This window comes from Homo sapiens, chromosome 7, assembly GCF_000001405.40.
Source record: "Homo sapiens chromosome 7, GRCh38.p14 Primary Assembly".
NCBI classification, from domain to species: Eukaryota; Metazoa; Chordata; class Mammalia; order Primates; family Hominidae; genus Homo; species Homo sapiens.
In genome coordinates, this window is record NC_000007.14 from 36934241 (window position 1) to 36952658 (window position 18418).

The 18418-nt window shown below is 43.8% G+C and overlaps 1 protein-coding gene across 15 annotated transcripts in view, besides 3 other annotated features; it reads right to left on the reverse strand.

Moving 5' to 3' along the window:
• ELMO1 (engulfment and cell motility 1) overlaps positions 1-18418 on the reverse strand; it is a 596421-nt gene that overhangs the window by 81335 nt on the left and 496668 nt on the right. The window lies entirely within an intron of this gene.
• Positions 8791-8860: an enhancer, noted in NCBI's record as "active region_25845". NCBI's record gives its function as "activates an Ori minimal core promoter by ATAC-STARR-seq in GM12878 lymphoblastoid cells {active_cell/tissue: GM12878}" and the evidence as "EXISTENCE:reporter gene assay evidence [ECO:0000049][PMID:35858748]".
• Positions 16886-16935: an enhancer, noted in NCBI's record as "active region_25846". NCBI's record gives its function as "activates an Ori minimal core promoter by ATAC-STARR-seq in GM12878 lymphoblastoid cells {active_cell/tissue: GM12878}" and the evidence as "EXISTENCE:reporter gene assay evidence [ECO:0000049][PMID:35858748]".
• Positions 17046-17275: an enhancer, noted in NCBI's record as "active region_25847". NCBI's record gives its function as "activates an Ori minimal core promoter by ATAC-STARR-seq in GM12878 lymphoblastoid cells {active_cell/tissue: GM12878}" and the evidence as "EXISTENCE:reporter gene assay evidence [ECO:0000049][PMID:35858748]".

Here is an 18418-nt window from a genome sequence, read left to right on the forward strand (position 1 = left end):
CCCACAACCAAGACAATGAGAGAGGCTGCTGCAACGCTTTCTTAAAAGGCTCAGGCAAGACAGCAGCCTGGGTAGTGGATCTGGGAAAGTGAGGCAAGGGCTGACAACATCTGCCTTTGCTTTGGCAGCTCTGCACGGAGGGAAGAGCGCTGGGCTTCGCAGCATCCACACTCTAGTCCCCTCTCCCGGCACATAGCTCGGAGACCAAACCTGCTGAGAGTGCCTTCCCAGGGAAATGGGAACCCTCAGGCATGGCTAGGTAAGGGCTCACAGCTGTGTACTTTTGGGCATTATAAAAGTTAATAACATTGGGACTGTTTCTGCTTTGGATGCAAATAATTGAAATGGAAATGCAAACATGCGCTTTTGATGATTAGGAGATGAAAAAAGAAACAATTAGCATGAAGGTTAATAATGGGCAAAATAGTTTTTTTCTCCTTGACAAGAAGTCAGATGCTCACTAAACAAAATGTCCTTGAAAAACTCTTGGATTTTGTAATCCTCCTCTGGTGACACTAGAGAAAGCTTTAAATAGCTAAGGGCCAGAGAAATTCTAAAGAAAAATGCACAGAAGGAGTTCAACTCCAGGTTACAGCCAATGACCCAGGTTGTCCCCAAGGTCTAAGCCGAGGAAGCTTGTTCTTCATTTCTCATCACTTGAGTGAGATGCCAGGGACACAGGAAAATTTTTCTTCCATCTGGGAGATTTGCTATTACTGTGAACAATATTATCAGGACCACCGTGGTCTCCACCACTGCAAGTTTTTCCTGAGAGGCTGTTTGGGTATTGCCTTTGATATGGTTTGGCTGTGTCCTCACCCAAACCCCATCTCGAATTGTAGCTCCCATAATTCCCTCGTGCTGTGGAAGGGACCCAGTGGGAGATAATTGAATCATGGGGGCGGTTCCCCACATACTGTTCTCGCGCCAGTGAATAAGTCTCACGAGATCAGATGGTTTTATAAGGGGAAACCCCTTTTGCTTGGCTCTTACTCTTCTCATCTGCTGCTGTGTGAGATGTGCCTTTCACCTTCTGCCATGATGGTGAGGCCTCCCCAGCCATGTGGAACTGTGAGTCCATTAAACCTCTTTCTTTTGTAAATTGCCCAGTCTTGCATATATCTTTATCAGCCACACGTAAAGGACTAAAACAGCCTTGTCCCTTCTAAAAAAAAATACTAGTACTCTACTGGCCTAATTGCAAAGTTGAGGAGAGCAGCTCTGTTTTTTGTTGCCATCCTTATCTGATGATGCAACCTATCTGATATCTTGATCAAAGTGCATTAAGGCACAAAAGGAGGCAAACCATTTAGTGAGTGGTTCTACTGAGGCTGTCTATTCAGGTGGGGCATTCTCCCAGCACAGGCACCCCCAGAATTCTCTCTCAACACTCAATGACACCACAACAGCGTTTTTCATTCAAAGGGGCACACACATTTTGAGGCTCTTAATGCTCTTACTATAAGGTGCACAGCTGAGGGTTTTGAAGGCCATTTCTAATAAGCTAAGACTACACTACTACTCCAAAAAGCCTAGGAAAATGGCTGGCCCCTCCAGTAAGAGAATAGGTGGTGGTATGCTAGACAAGAAAAAGTCAAAGCCATTTGGTCTTGAATGTTCATCTAACACTTACAAGCTGTGTGATTTTGGAAAGAAGTGAGCGACTCCCTAAATCTGAGTGATTTCATCTGTACCCTGGGCCTGCTGCAGTGCATACTGTTGGTTGCTTACCTAAGATTGCCCCCTCCTCCTTCCTAAGAGGACCCTGTTTTATTCAGGTGTCCACTCACCCTCCAGGCAGCCCTAGCACCTGAGTGAATGCTGACCACCCCACCCACCTCCAGAGGTAGCCCTGATTGGTCTGAGTGCAACTCCTTTTACTGTGACAGTATTTGGTTCAGAAATAGAAGTGGGCACAAATTCAAGCCAAGGACCAAGCAGAGGGTGGATTCAGTGTTTCTGTAATTATTTTCCATCCTTCTGGGATCACATTCTGAAGAGACCCCTGTCTCTTCCATGGGATGATGTGGTGTGCAAATGTCCCTCACTACTGCCACCCCCTTACTAGCCACTGAGCAATAAAGCTGCCACACAGAGGAGGGAAGAGCCCAGGGAATCATGGGGAAATGGGCTACCACCCCTGGATTACGCTGGCCCTGAATTCTACCTTAGTCTGGCTTCTAGTTAAAGAGCCAACACATTTTCTTCTCTCGATTTTTTAGTTTTATTTTTTAGAGATGGGGGTCTCGCTCTGTTGCCCAGACTGGAGTGCCATGGTGCAATCATGGCTCACTGCAGCCTCCACCTCCCAGTCTGAAGTGATCCTCCTGCCTCAGTCTTCCAAGGAGCTGGGACTACAGGTGTGCACCATCATGCCTGGCTAATTTTTGTATTTTTTGTAGAGATGGGGTCTATGTTACCTGGGATGGTCTCAAACTCCTGGCCTCAAGCCATTTTTCCTTCTTGGCTTCCGAAAGTGTTGAGATTATAGGTGTAAGCCACCGAATCTGGCCCATTTTCTTCTTAAAGACCATTAATGTTTGGTTTTCTGTTGCTTACAAATGAAAGCATATGAAAAGCTAAAGATATCTGTTAGGATTTTGGGGAAGATACATTAAAAAAAGAATGTGCTTAACACAGGATTAAGTATAGAGTAAGCACTGAAAATATGGTATTTCCTTTTATTGTAGTTTCTTTTTTGGGCCACACTGCTTCACCTCAATTAGGGGGTTCTCCCAGGGATCTACTTCAGTTTTATTCGGGCACAGGGACATCACTGGCATTTTAAATGTTGGGAGGCTTTGTTTTATTTTTGGCAGTCTCTAGGGGCAGGGGAAAGAACTATATTCAACAAATCTTTAGCACCGGTTATGGTTTTAATTTTGCTCCCCCCAAAAGATATGCTGAAGTCCTCACACCAGTACCTCAGAATGTGACACTATTTGGAAACAGTGCCATTGCAGATGTAATTAGTTACGATGCAGTCATACTGGAGCAGAGTTGGCCCCTAGTCCAGTATAACTGGCGTCCTTATAAGAAGATGGCAATATGAAGACAGTCACACAGGGAGAACGCCACGTGACAACAAAGGCAGAGACTGAAGTGATGCAGCTGCAAGCGAGGAAATGCCAAGGATGGCCAGCAATTCAACAGAAACCTGTGAAAGGCAAGGAGAGATTCCCCTGCAGATTTCAGACAGAGCAAGGCCCTGTGAGCCATGCTCCAAAACTAGGAGACCATAACTTTCTCATAGCCTCCAAAACTATGAGACCATAATTTCCTGTTGTCTGAAGGCTCCTCATTGGTAGTACTTTGTTACAGCAGCCCTAAGCAATGAACACAGTGCTTATTCAGAAACATGTAATGGAAGAAAATCAAGTGTAAACCAGACATTTAAAATCCCTTGTCTCTTTAAAGGATTTCAGACTGTTATCAGATGTCCTCTATTGACAATAGTGTATGCTACTGCTAATAGTCTAAGATTTCCTCCCTAAAAGCACCACAATACCCGTTGTTTAAAAATAATAATGGTTTGCTCAGTCTTTTTATTTGAATAAAATTAAATGCAACAGTGAGAGGTATAAAACAAAAGTGGAGCTCCTACAGCTGAAGGAAGCTGGAGGGATTCAGACTTGCTGCTAACACTCTCTAGTGGCCCCTGAGGCCACTCATGGAACTGCCAGGTGCCACAGAACTCAGGCTGAGAAACACTATTCTAGAAGCTGCAAATAATGTCTGCTTATGGTCGCATCCAGGAGTACAGTAGGAGTCCTCTTAAAAGACGGCCACCATAACAGACTTGCCAGTTTATGAAACATCCTCCATCCTTTTTCTAAAATATACTGACTGCTGCCCAGGCTGACACTCCAAGCTCACAGTCAAGATGCTGGAATGCCCCTGGGTTTCTGCTCCCACCAGCTGAGATGTGAGATTTAGGGATCTTTGTCTCCAAATGTGTTTCTTCCAGTTATAGTTGTCATTGTAATTATGTAATTTGATTGCATATTATATACACTGATGAAATATGAGTAGAAAAAGCTCCAAGTTGAATGCTTTGAAAGACTGGATAAAAACAAGTTGCTGAAACCAAGCCAAACCTGCTGTTGAACCACATGTGGGTGGGTCAACCACAGAAAACTGGAAGAGATTGTACTTAGATAACTTCAAAAGTGTCTTCAGAGCTTGTTCCACTTTAAGAAAACTGAAACTGGAAATCACAGATGATGTCTTTTTGGCATGGTTTATCTAAGAATGGTAATTAGAAACTCCAATCTGCAAATTTAAGAAAAAGCTTGAGTCTCACATTAAAAAGTTGGTGATTTAACATGCATTTGTATGTTTTAAGTTAAAATAAAATATTTAAGGTATGCATATATCATATTATGATTAACCATAACCACTGTCATCAACTTTTTAATTAACTAATCAGCTGCCAACTCCTGATGCATGAGCTAAGAGGGCCTTTATTACAGTTTCTTCATTTTGGATACTGTGTTCTTGGATGGGAAAATCCTATTTCTCTATTTTAGTTGTCATCAATGGCTACCTAGAATGTAAGGTCCATGAGAGAGATTTTTTTGTCTATTTTGTTCAGTGACGTCAATTTTCAAAAAATTCAATTGATTTAAACATCAAAGATTAGCTGGGCATGGTGGTGCATGCCTGTAGTCCTAAGTACTCGGGAGGCTGAGGTGGGAGGATTGTTTGAGCCAGGGAGTTCCAGGCTGCAGTGAGCTATAATCGTACAACTGCACTCCAGCCTGGGTGACAGAGCAAGACCTTGTCTCTTAAAAACAAAGCTATAGACATTGCTAATTAAAAAAAAAATGAACATGTATTTACCTGCAAAATTGTTTAAGCTAATACAAATAGAGACTAACCCCTAAAGTACTATGGACATAACTGTATTTTAACACATTTAAGAAATGAGTTTTTTTTTTTTTATCTCCTAGCCACAGCATACAAAGGCCAAAGACTTGGCCACTTACCGAAGACAGAGTCTAAGATCTGCTCCAAGACTTAACCTAGTCAGGCTGGGGGCTCAAGTACTCATAGAAGACTTAACCTAGTCAGGCTGGGGGCTCAAGTACTCATAGAAGACTTAACCTAGTCAGGCTAGGGGTTCATGTACTCATAGAAGACTTAACCTAGTCAGGCTAGGGGTTCATGTACTCATAGAAGACTTAACCTAGTCAGGCTGGGGGCTCAAGTACTCATAGAACAACTCTTCCCGCAGGCTCTGTGTGTTTCACTTCCAGCAAGTCTACACAGAGTAGATCCTATTCCAACTTGGATATGTTTTGATTCAGCTCACTTAACCAAGAACTACATTTTTAAAATATTCTCAGAGATGAAGTGGTGAACAGAATACATGGGAAGCATTGCTGTGGCTCTGGACCATGCCACATATAGACAAGGGTTCCCATGTTCAAAGTGCAGATCAACCCTTTCCCTGGGATGGCGGGGGGTGCCCCACTCTCAGAAAGCCAGGCCGACAAGGAGAGAGCAGGAATTGCAAAAGCCCACCCTCCTGCTTTCACTGCTCAGGGATCTGGGAGGCAGAGGGGCCAAGTGGCTGGCCGGAGGCATGCGTGGAGTGGCATCTGACCCACAATAAGAAAACAAATTTCCTGTTTTATTCTTCACAACACTGTATGCTCCTGGCAAAAGCAAACCAGTATGAATGAATTCATAACACACACCTTATCCTTACATGTGACGTGTGCTCAATAAATACTGGTTGGTTTTATTGCCTGACTCCACAGGTGGCAATTGACAGGATTTTGGGTGTGGAAATGATCAAGACTTTGTAAACGGGAAGAATCTGGAGTGGCATATGTTGTTGCCATTCCCCTAACCCCATTAGCAGCTGGGTGAGTGAAGAGTAAATAGACAACCATCTCCTAGTTCTGAGGCTGCTTTCCCTGAAGGGACTTTCTAAATGAGAACCTTGCCTAAATTGGCAATTAACCCAAGCTTAACAAGGGCTTACAGTCACACTGGGGCAAATCTGGTGAAAGCAACCTTAGATAGAATAGGCCAAGGAGAGCCTTCTACACTCACACTGTATGTGAGAAAGCAAGTGAGTAGTAGTATTCAAGTCTTTCATTCCTAGGGGTGATTATTTCTACAGTGGGACTTAAGGAGAATAGGGAACTACCAAAGCTCCTCTGAGGCTGCCCTTTTGGGTTGCAGGTATTTGTATATTCTTTAGCCCTTAAGAGGGTAATTTAGTGATTTAAAGCACAGGCTTGGGCAAGATACAATTGTAGTTTAGAATATTAGTTCTGATACTGGGCAAGATACTTATAAATTCTTAAAGCCTCAGTTTCTTTTTGGAGGGGACATGTATCTACTTCAGAGTTCTGTTGTGAATATTGAGTATAGTAATCAATGCAAATTGCCTAGCACATAGATGTTCATGAAATATTAGTTAATTGACAACTATTAGTAACAATAATAATGACAAATTAACAATCTTAGGGAAATAAAAGAAACTCTCACCAAGTCAAACATTTGAGTGTCTAGCATGTGCAGGCTCTCTGCTAGGCACTGGGGGACTCTACAACAAGAGTTTCTTCATCAGCAGGGGAGACAAGCCATGCACACAATTAGCTCTTGCATTAACAGCGACAGTTATAAAGGAAGATTTATATAGTTAGGAAAGTTATAAATGCACAAGAGAGGCACAGATAGTGTGATAACTGGTCTGGAGAAGGAAAAGATAACTTATAGCTGGGAAATCTAGAGAAGGTTCATGAAGGAGATAGCATCGGCTCTCAGCTCTGCATTTTATGAAATATGCCTAAATAATGTAAATGAAATTCCAAGTTTGTTTCCAATTATGTATTACATTCTTTGGATAAATTCCATCACTTCTTATCCAGATTGGCTCTAAAAGAATAAATTGATTTCTGAAATTTCAGCTAAATAAAAAACATGTAGAATAAAAGCCTAGTGCTCGAATCAATCACCTTCACTTACTATAAGGTATATTCAGAAGTCACAGATTTGCTTTTTATATAGTGTTTGGTATTTGCATTATCTACGACAATGTGCCTTTCTGCTAGCACAGGTGTCAAGAGCTGAGAACACTAACTTTGGAATTCCTTAGATCAGTGTTTTTCAGAGTAAGCTCTGGGTTACACAGGTTCCACGATGTGTTGGGTGGGGCAGAAGAAAGAAAGGGAGTATGAGATAAAGGAAAGGATTCTATGATGTAATGTTTTGAGAAACTCCATCTCTTATCTACAAACATATTAACATCTACAAGTTAAATCTGTTCACCTTCTTAAACCTAGCATTTCACAAACATTTGGTCATGTGAGGCCTTTTATCTCCTAGCATAACACCTATGAATTTCTCAGTTCCCTTTAGAAATTGTCACTTTGAGCATTTGACATGGCATTGCTAAAGGGCCATTAGAATAGAATGCCAAACCTAATAATTTGGATCTCTAGGAAGAAGTTCCATGGCTTCAGTCTTGTGACCAGTCCTGGGCAAATGGCCAAACATGTACTTTCAAAGGATTGAACTCATCTTCTCCATTTGGAAGATACTGCATTCACTCTACAAAACATCCTGAGAGGGGGGCCTCATTCCTCTGGTTTCACAGATGAGCAAACTGATGCTCAGAGATGTAAATCAATTTGCCTCAGATCACACACCTGGGAAGTGGCAGGACTTGAATTCTGCTTCCTAAGCCTTTCTGCTTACTCCACCCCAGGTGCCTTGGATTTGAAATCGTGTTAGTAAGCTAGCATCACCTTAGCTTCGTGCTGAATGATTTCCAGGGAGCAAGAGTTTTAGAGGTAGAGGTTAACATTAATTTGTAATTTACATAAAACCAATGGACTATACAATCATCATTTCACCAATGGCTATACACAGACAATTTTTTTCAAGGTACAATAGTCCAAAGCACTCCCCTGTCAGTCCAGACCTCCAGGTAGCTGCTTCACAACCTGGCGGATGTGGATCAAAGAATAGTAAAGGCCACTGGGAGGCACCCAACCCTGACTCACTAAGGAGGCATCCCCCTCTCTGCCATATCTAGAACGTCTTTCCTCTTCTATCAGGAAGCGCAGCTGCACATTACTTACTTCTAAGATCCCTCAGCTATATCTAGAAAAACAAAATGATTTACCAGAGCATGTCAACAATGCTTAAAATAGAAATATAAAGTAATTACAAGTGACAACCCTCAAATTGTAGTGAGGCTTAAAAGCAACATTTTCTCTGTCTCAGGAGACAGGTGGGTGCTGCCACCCTCTGAGGAGGCTTATGACATGGATGGGGATTTCAGGAGGGAAATGAAGAGGACGTTTTCTTTGGCGTAGACAACAGATTATCTTTAGTCACATAAAAACCATAGATTTGCATGGAGAGGGAATAAATCTGGACAAATGGCATAGTTTACCTTTAAGAAAGCACTTGCTTTGATGGTGGGTTCACTGTGTTCTGGCTTGAAGGAATGATAACATGAGATCATACACAGCTTTGCATGCTAATTAGATTTAGTGCCCTAGCCAGGAAATTTTTTAGGCTCTGTAAAAAATCTACACTTATAATGAACACTTCCCAAGAAAATGAATACACAGTACAGAAAGGCCTTTCTCAGTAACTGATAAGATGCTCGCAGGAAAGAGAAGAAAAGATGTCCAAGGATCTGGAAGGAAAAAGGCAGTCCTGACAGCACGCCACTGACAGCTTCCAGAATTCTCATGCAGCAAAAATCACCATGACCAGCCACCTTCAGATCATGGTCACGGCAGGCTGGCATGTGGGACAGTTCAGTGTGACACAGACTACCTGCGGAACCTGGGTCCTACCTCAGAGGTGCTCATGGTGAGGGCTACTGCCTCATTCCCTTTGAGCTCCAGTTCCCACATCTGTACACTGGGGACAACGCTGGCCACTGCAGCGGGTCGAGGTGGGTGAACATGCAAATGAGCAGGCGACACATTCATTAAAGTCCTTCCACTGTGTACGTTCAGTATCCCTTATCTACTATGGTTATGCAGTTCTGTGACTGTCAACAATACCTTTTCTTTTATGCGTAAAAAATTCAGAGTAACACGGTGTTTATATAAATCCAGTCTTCCCTTTCCCCTACCTTTTGTAAGCTCTGCCTCAGCTAAGCTGCCACACTCATCCTAACAAAAGGGCCACTGGCCTCTCCTTGTCTCTGTGCTCTCTGTTGGCATTTTAGATCTTCAGTCATGAGAGGCTCTTTGTTCAACTGCTTGATCACCAATTTCATTCATAGACAATTTGATTGGAGTTTTGGGGGATAAGGACTGTCCTGTTCCTATTTCTATCCCCAGAATCTGGCATAGAACCATGTACAACTGCTACGTAAGAAAGTTTGAATGAATGAGTAACTGGAATATTTAATGCTTCGAATAAGTGAAGTGTATTATATGCCTCTAAATAGTTCATTCACTCCTTACTCAAGAAACATGTATATTACTTTTAGTTTTCAGAACGCTTTGCACTTTTGTTTTCAATTGCAGAACATATTTTCATAACAAAAAGGAAATGAAACCTTAACCCCAGTTCTGAATAACAACACTCATCTTTTTCCTCGAGAGCTCCCTTCCTGGCTTTCCATGAAAGTCATGCTAACTTCTGCTCTGAGGGTGGATATACACTAGACAGGGTCTGCACAATCCTTTAGGAAAATCACAACAATAGGGCTGGTTTCACATTTAAAAAATGATCAGGAAACATAAAAATGATCAAGAAAAGAACAGGGAGAGTAAGAGAGCAAGATGGAGGTGGGGAGTACCACAGGTGGGGCATCTCTGCTCAATGCCACCTGGTATTGCCACAAGAACACATGCAGCTCTTATGTGCTTCACAGTGATCTTAGAACGTTACATAGATTAACTATTCCTCATGGCAACTTTCCCTATTTTAAACATAAGGACATGAACATAGAAAGGCTAAGTAATTTGCTGCAGATGACTCAGCTAGTAAATGTCAGAGCAGGAATCTGAACTTGGCAATGTGGCTCCAGAATCCCTGCTTGCCACCTGACACTAGGCTGCTTCTTGGGCACGACAATCCTGAGAATCCAATTATCACCATCTGTATTTTTAAAATGGAGAAGTTGAGATTCAAAGAGACTCAAACTTGACCAAAGTCCACCAGCTCACACGAAGGAGTGCACGATTCAAACTAAAGTCTGCTTGATTTCAAAGCCCACATGATTTTCACTCTACTCCTGGGACCTCCCGTATAATATTTTCTATCCTTCTCACAGGCTTAGCAAAAGATGATTCATTATTTTCTCTGCTGAGCATCTTGCTAAGTTCTACTGGTGAATATCAAGCTGTAATTTTACTCATGAAGCATGTCACTGGTCTCTTCCCCAATGAGGAGATCAGTTTCTCTGATGACCGGAGCTCCTTGAAGTCAACGGGACTTCACAGACATTGATTTGTTGCCTGCTGGAAGCCAGTTGTATAGAAAGTAATTGGGAAGCACAATGGAGTGGATGTAGCCCAGCCTAGGAAGTGTTCCCAGCCCTTAGTGAAAACATAGGCCCTCATACATGGAGACAAGATTTGGGAGAAAAGGCCCAAAGCTCTAAAACACTAGTACACCTTCTTAATGTAGAATTAGAGCTAGAAGGGGCTGCCCCACCAGAAAAGCAAAGGAGCCTATGCTAGCAGTGACTGGTTGCCTTGAAGTGGGAATAAAGGGTCCTGAATTCACTCTGCGAACCCAGGGCAATAGCAAGTGTATTTGCTGTCCTTTCCAACGCCTGCTGACTCACGGCAGCTTTGCTCTACTCTCCGGGGATAAGGCTAAAGAAAACGCCACAAGTTTGCTCTGGGTGTGGTACCATCATTACTTCATTATTCACAGGTGATTTCCTATTCCAGTTCTCAACATTGTTTTCTTCCTAATTTTCAATTATGATTGTTTAATTGCACAAGGTCCATTATTGTCATACATTTTCTCAAAGCCTTTGTAGGATATAAAATAAGTTTTTAAGTTACTATTGCTATCTTAGGTACCTTCTAGAATCCTCTGACTCACTTTTATATGGTTTCTTCCTTTTCTACTTTCACAAGGGTTTTGAAAGGGCTTACAATACAAATGCACTAAGTCAATGAGCCTAAGGAAAGAAGTTGGAGCAGAAAATAAACATTAGGGAGGGAAGGAGGGAGGTACAGGCATACCCCAAACCGGAGCCCAGCCTCAGTGACGGGCATTTAACTTAGCACGAAGCTTTCCGGGAATCCCTAGAACGATCATTTAGAATGTCATTACCTCAATCAGCTTTATTAGAGTTATGGGCTCTTAGTTGCATAGTTGAAAAATAAGAATGCCTCTGTTTTTCCAATAGTGGCTCACTGTGTTTCCCTTAGCTCCCTGGATGGGGTTAAATCGGGCAAATTTCCCCAGTGAGATGACTTGCTGTGGCTCCATACCCCTCACATTCCCCTTAAGTCAGAGTCCATGCCTGCTAACATAATAGCCTGACATACTGCCCAGAGTCCTTGACGGTACTATTTTTAGCAACAGGGCCATGTGGCACACAGTCTAGAGTGACTGTATCTCACTCCATCCAATTTTCTTTTCAACTGGACCAACTTTAATTAAAAGGGGCGAACACATCCCCAGATCAGACAGATTCCCACTTTGGACTGTAGAACCCAAGGAAGTGACATTTTTAAGAAACTCCTTTGGAATCCTGGAATGAAAGGCATCGGAGGTAGGTTATTGAAATGACTGATCTCCACCTGTCCCTGCCTCTCCTGCCAAAGGAGGATGGGACGTGGACAGTCTGCAGGCACAGCAGAGGTAGCCTGAGCTGGGAACAGGAACAGCAAAGCTGACAGCTGTGCTTTTCTGCACCAAGCACCCTGGGAAAAATCAACACTTGGGCAGCCCTGCTGCCATCTGTGGCGTTTCTGCAGCAGACAGGTTATTTATAGAAACTTGTTTGTGCAAAGCCAATATTTACCTGTCGGGGCTGTCAAAATTTACATTTCATCTGTGCCATTAGCCTGCTGTTTCCCTGTCAATAAAGGAAATTTCCATCACTAGAAAGGGAGACTGGGGGCAGCTATGAGGACTACAGTCCCCTCCCAGTAAGTGAGAGAATGAGTGGTATTCATGGTTACAGGGTAAGTGCATCTGTTGCCCAAGTGGCCACTGGACCCTCATGCTATGCTATGAAGACAAAGAGTTGTCAAGACCCAAAACTGGAATTCTCCCAACTGCTTCTTTGTAATTTAATCTTCAAAGCCACCCTTAGTTAAAATGAGAATGGCATGTTCCGCAACCACCTCTGTGTTTGTGTTGCTCCGTGCCTTCCAAAGGACTATTGTTATCTGTGGTAAGGATGAGGGGTTGGGGGCTCTCCCTAAAAACCCACTTTCTTCTAAAACCATCAAGATCCTCCATTTTTCACTGAAAATAGTCATCTCTTCTACTTCTCTGATTATCCTCTTCAGTCTTTTGGGAGTTCATCTTCTCCTGCCTGTCTCTTAAATGCAGATGCACAGTCCTGGTCCCTTCTTCTCTTCTCACTCCCCACCTTCTTCCTCGGTGAGATCATCTATTCAAATGACTTAACAGTTTTATCTAATTCTTGTGACTCCAATTTCTCCAGCCCATCTCACTCACCTTTCCTCTATAGGCTCTTCAGCAAAATTTAAAAATAATCACAATGAATTAATTTATTTTTTAATTGTCAATTTATCTTTTTGTTATTTTTTAAAAATTATTTTAGATTTGGGGGTACACGTGCAGGTTTGCTACATGGATATACTGCACAATGCTGAGGTTTGGACTTCTATTGAACCCGTCACCCAAATAGTGAGCACAGTACCCAATAGGTAGTTTTTCCAACCTTGCCCTGCTCCCTCTCTGCTTTGGGAGTCCCCAGTGTCTACTGTTTCCACTCTTATGTCCCTGTGTACCCAATGTTTAGCTCTCACTTATAAGGGTGAACATGCGGTATTTGATTTTGTTTCTGTATTAATTCACTTTCTAGCTTTGAGCAGGACAGTATCTCCATTTGGATGTGCCCAAAGCACTTCACATCTAGTTCATCCACTGAGCTCATCTCTCCCATATTCCTGGTGTGCTCTTATTCTCACATTCTCTATCTCAATTGCAGGTACTATTGCCCACCAATAAATCATCCCCAGTTTCTCATTTTCCAACTCACTCTCCATCACAACCTATCAACCACCCAAACCTGTTGATCCCACATCTTAAACACGTACTGACCACATTCCCAATCTGGGCCATGACGTTGATCAGGTGTTTATCTCCTGCTTGGATCAGGCGTTGGCCTCCTAATCTTTTCAGTCCAAAGAGTTTTCTTTCCAAAGCACAGATCTGATCATGTCTTTCCTTAGCCTAAAATATTTCTGTGGTCTTCAATAACCTTGGGTCAAAGTCTGAACTCCACAGCAATTTATACGAGGCCCTTCCTAAGCTGACCTGGCTCACCTCACCTGCTGCATTTCTTGCTCCTTTCCTCCTCAAACTCTGACCAGTGACCTAGAAGCATCCTTCTCTCTTCTGGCCTCCACCCAAGAGGCCACTCCCTCTGCCTGGAATGTCCCATCACCTCCCCACAACCACCTAGGCCCTGAGGATTCTTTTCCTGGCTGACTCTCTTTCCTCCTTCAGGATGTAGCCCAGGTTTATTTAACTGAATAATATGGCAAAATTAATGAAGGTCGAGTTCAAGTGACATAAGCTAGGCAAACACTTGTCTATCATAGACACAGTCAAGTGAGTTATTGTGCGTTCTTTGACTTATTATCCCCAACTCCTATGTCGGTTCCTAGCATGCAGAAGATGCTCAATAAGTGTAGTTTGAATAGATAAGTGGTGAAAAACATAACTAGGATCAAGAGGTACTTGATTTTATATAAAATATTTATCTTAGAGAAGTTTATAAGTACTTAAGAGGACAAACACTTGGTTCTTAAAATCATTTAGAGGGGTAGACAATGGGCGGGGTGGGGAGGACCACTATGTCCTGCACTGGTGGGTTGGGTGAAGGACGCTAAGGCAATGTGAGGGACCCAAGTTGACATCATCATGTGCAAAAGACACCAGACTCCTTCAACCAAAGTCCGGAGTAAGGAGAAGATTTCACATTGAGTTAGAATGTCATCTATGCACCAGGCACTTGGCATACATTGTCCTTTTATCCTTACAAAGGTTCTACAGAGCACATCATTTCATCTCTCTTTTACAGATTAGGAAACTGAGGTTCAGAAAAATTAAATCAACTGTATAAAATCACACAGCTACTACCCCTCCACAGAGCAGTAACTTCCTCCATACCACAACAGTCTCTACCATTTATTGACCTCTTGACTGTGTGCCAGGTGCTATTTGAACCATTTTAGATTATCTCATTTTTTTCTTCACTATAACCCTACAACTATCTCCTTCCTATGAAGAAGGAAACTGAGGGCTAGGATACAAACCCAGTTCTCACTGTTCCTAAATCCATGCTCTTAACCACCTTCCTATATACATCAAGACGCAAAAGGGATTTGAACATTTTCCCACCATACGGCAGAGCCTCTAGGATATGCTCCCTATAGAAGGTACTGCTCACTCACTCTTTTTGTTTGTTTGTTTTTGAAATGGAGTCTCGCTCTGTCACTCAGGCTGGAGTGCAATGGTACGATCTTGGCTCACTGCAACCTCTGTCTCCCAGGTTCAAGCGATTCTCCTGCCTCAGCTTCCCGAGTAGCTGGGATTATAGGTGCCTGCCACTACGCCCAGCTAATTTTTGTATTTTTAGTAGAGAAGGGGTTTCACCATGTTGGTCAGGCTGGTCTTGAACTCCTGACCTCAGGTGATCCACCCGCCTTGGCCTCCCAAACTGCTGGCATTACAAGCGTGAGCCACCATGCCTGGCCTGCTCACTCACTCTTCAAAGATCTCATAACACTTTTTTACCCTATGGTAGAGGTACTTACTTCCATCTGCCTTGCATGATGAGAGACCCTATCACTGAACTGGAAACGGCACCACTTCTTATTCCACTGTGTTTCCCCCACATTCCCTTGCCTTGTGCCTTGGCCACAAATGGAGGATATAAATATCTGCTGATTTTCACGGAGACTCACACAAGAGCTGAAAAGACAGGTGGGACTTCACGGAATTTTCTCATCTGGTTCCTTTGATGACAGACCAGCTGAAGAGCCCCCTTCTCAATGTGCATGGCCACACCCTCTCTCGGTGGCAGACATCAGACCAGGTTCTCTTGCTCTGTCCTCTTCACTCGGTCTAGGCCAGGGTTCTTCAACCTTGGCACTACTGACATTTGGGCCAGATAATTCTATGTTGTGGAAGCCTGTCCTGTGCATTACAGAATGTTTAGCAGCATCTCTGGCCTCTATTCACTAGGTGTCAGTGGCCCCCCACCCCCAACCAAATGTGACAAAACTATCTCCAGACATTGCCAACTCCCCTCATCCCCATGGCAAATCCTTCCTGTTCACTGTAGAATGTTTAGCAGCATATCTCTGGCCTCTGCTCACTAGATACCAGTGCCCTCCTCCACCACCCCACCCAGATGTGACAAACAAAACTATCTCCAGACATTGCGAAATCCCTCCTCCCATTTGAGAACTACTGTGTGGCCTCATGCCAATGACACAGACAATGCAAACATCTTTCCAAAGCAAATCCCCAAAGTCCCGTGGCTAAGCTGGTTCTGCAAAATTAGCTTCTCAGATTTAGGTTATGGCTCTTTCGGTTGGAGTTCCCTCGTGCTGTGTTCGCCCCATGCTCCTATACATCTCATTTCCATTCTCCCCTTCTCACTCACCACTTTTTTTCAGCATTTAAATCTAGAAGATACAGCTCCCTGTATATCCTAAACAGACACAGAAAACAAGAAACAATGTACTATGCAAGACCCACCATCAACAAGGTGCCCGGGACAGCTGGAGATGAGCGACTCCTGACTGGGTGGATTGACTGGCATGCTCATTATTAACATCTGTGAGAGACAGAGGGAATGTTTCCTTCAGCCCTGTGAGCAAGACTCAGGAACTGAGCAGCCCACAGTAGCTTTTTATGTAACCAGCCCACCTTCTCTGCAGGAGATGAGCAGAGTCAAAAGATCTGTTTTCCTTCCCATTTCCTCCTGCAGTTCACTCTTCACAGTGGGTGACTGGGCAAAGGGTCACTCACCACCAAGCCACAGGTTTCTCCTATTTTCTCCTGGGCCCCTGGCCACTCCTATCTTCTGCTTCTGTCTTTGGTTCAACCCCTTGGGCTGTCTGTGTTTCATGGCGCCAGGCAATTTATCTCTTTTGTCCTTCCTAAGGTGAAGGTAACAATTATACATCTTTAATCAAGGCTGGGGACTGACTCAATATTTTTCTGACAGGAATACTGCTCTTCCAGCAGACCGAGTCATTTAGGTATTTCTCAAATGTTCACTGCACACAAGACATTGCGCTAGAGGGACAGAGCCCTTATGGAGATCGAAGCAATGGCTCCTTCATCTCCATGAGGGCTCAGGGGTCTGGGCTGAACTGAGGACTGGCCCATGAAGACAAGCTGAGGATGCACTCCATGAAGCTGTTTACAGTGGGATTTCAGACCCACCATGTTACGGAGTGTCTGAGAGGAAGGCCGAGAGGGCGTGTCTGCTTCTTGCCTCTCTGGAGCAGTAAATGACCCATCCATCTACCCAGTTACTGAAGCCAGACACCAGGAAGTCAATCATGATTCCCCCTCTCCACCACTACCCCTGTCCACACCTAATCAGTCCACAAGTCTTTTTGAGCTTATTTCTAAAACATATCTCACAAGTACCTTCTTACCTTATTCCTACTGTTGCCACCTTGGTCCAGGCCACCTCCATTTACTGCTTGGACCTGTGTATCAGCCTCCTTCCTGGTCTCCCACTTCCATTCTTAAGCCACTCCAATCTATTCTGGACTCAGCAATAGAGATCATCTTAAAAGGGAGTCCAGATCAGTGCAAGGCATTGCTTAAGATGCTTCAAGGGCTTCTTAACTAGGTTAAAATCCTATCCCTTCACTTTGGTCTGCAAGAGCCTATCTGATTTAATCCCTGCCCACATCACCAACACTTGGCTCCGGCCAAAATGGTCTTGGTTTCAGTTCCTCAAAAAAGCCAAGCTCTCTCCTGTTTTTGCTCATCTGGACCCTCAGCCTGGAAGGTGCTTTCCTCCACACTTCACATACCTACCTCCTTCCCATCACGTAGCCTTAATCAGTGGTTCTCAATCTAGGGTGGCCACTGGAACCACCTGGAGGGCTCATTAAACACAGACTGCTGGGGGAGTCTCTGATGAATCAGACTGAAGTGGGTCTGGGATAGGGTCTGAGAATCTGCATTTCTAGCAGGTTCTCAGGCAATGCTGTTGGTGTTGGTCCAAGGACCACAGTCTTCTCTGGCCACGCCATTCAAAATATGGTGCCCACTCCTAGTAGATTCTGTCTCTGTTTCTTTTTGTTGACTTCACAGCACTTCTTACGCTTGAGACCACGTTGCTTTGTTTACTCTTCTGTTTTGCTTTTACATGTCTTCTCTGCTAGAAACTTCCATGAGGTCAGAACCATGTTTCTCTGGCACAGAATTACGTCCCCAGTGACTGCTGCAGAGCCTGGCATACAGCAGGCACTCAATAGATGTTTACTGAAGAATGATTAAATGAAGGGGGGTTTAAAGGCCAAAGCAAGGGACTCTGAAGTCAAAGACCTCTATGTGGAAGTCAGGAAGTGGATTAGAGAAGGATCTGGCAAGGAAGCAGGAAGCAGGGAGGATGGTCTGGGCACCAGCAGGATGTCCCCAGACGGAGGGGGCATGACTGATGAACAGGTGCATCCCACGCAAACCCATGCCAGGGAGGTGTTCAGCATCTCTGAGGCCTGCATCTACTCCTGAGGGCAGCCACTGGGCTCAGTGTGGAACATGCATCCTGAGAAGAGGCTTCCAGAGGATCCAGGCAGATTTGAAAGGAATCAGTCAAAGAAGCCATCAGAGGCCCTTTAATGTTCTGTTTGGTAACCTCTTAGTGATCTTTCTCTGTACCCAGGGGCCAAACACAGCACGTGGCCACGGGAGGTGGGAGAGAGATGGAGCTGGTGATGGAAGCACTGGTGGCATTTTAGTAAATGCCTCCAAGAGCAAGCGGGGCGGGGAGACGAGCACAGTGAAAGAAGACACTAATGAATCTTATCCAGCTGTGCAGCTTTAAGTGATTAATGCCCAGCACAGAGCAAACGTTTGATTAATAAGGCAGCACCTCCATATCATCACTCTAACCTTCTGAGGCTCCCAGGTAAAAGTGGCTCTTATGAAAGGGACGGGATACATTCAAGTAAAGTTCAAAGAAAAAAGAAATCACTCTAGACTCAGTTATGAAAATGAATGGATG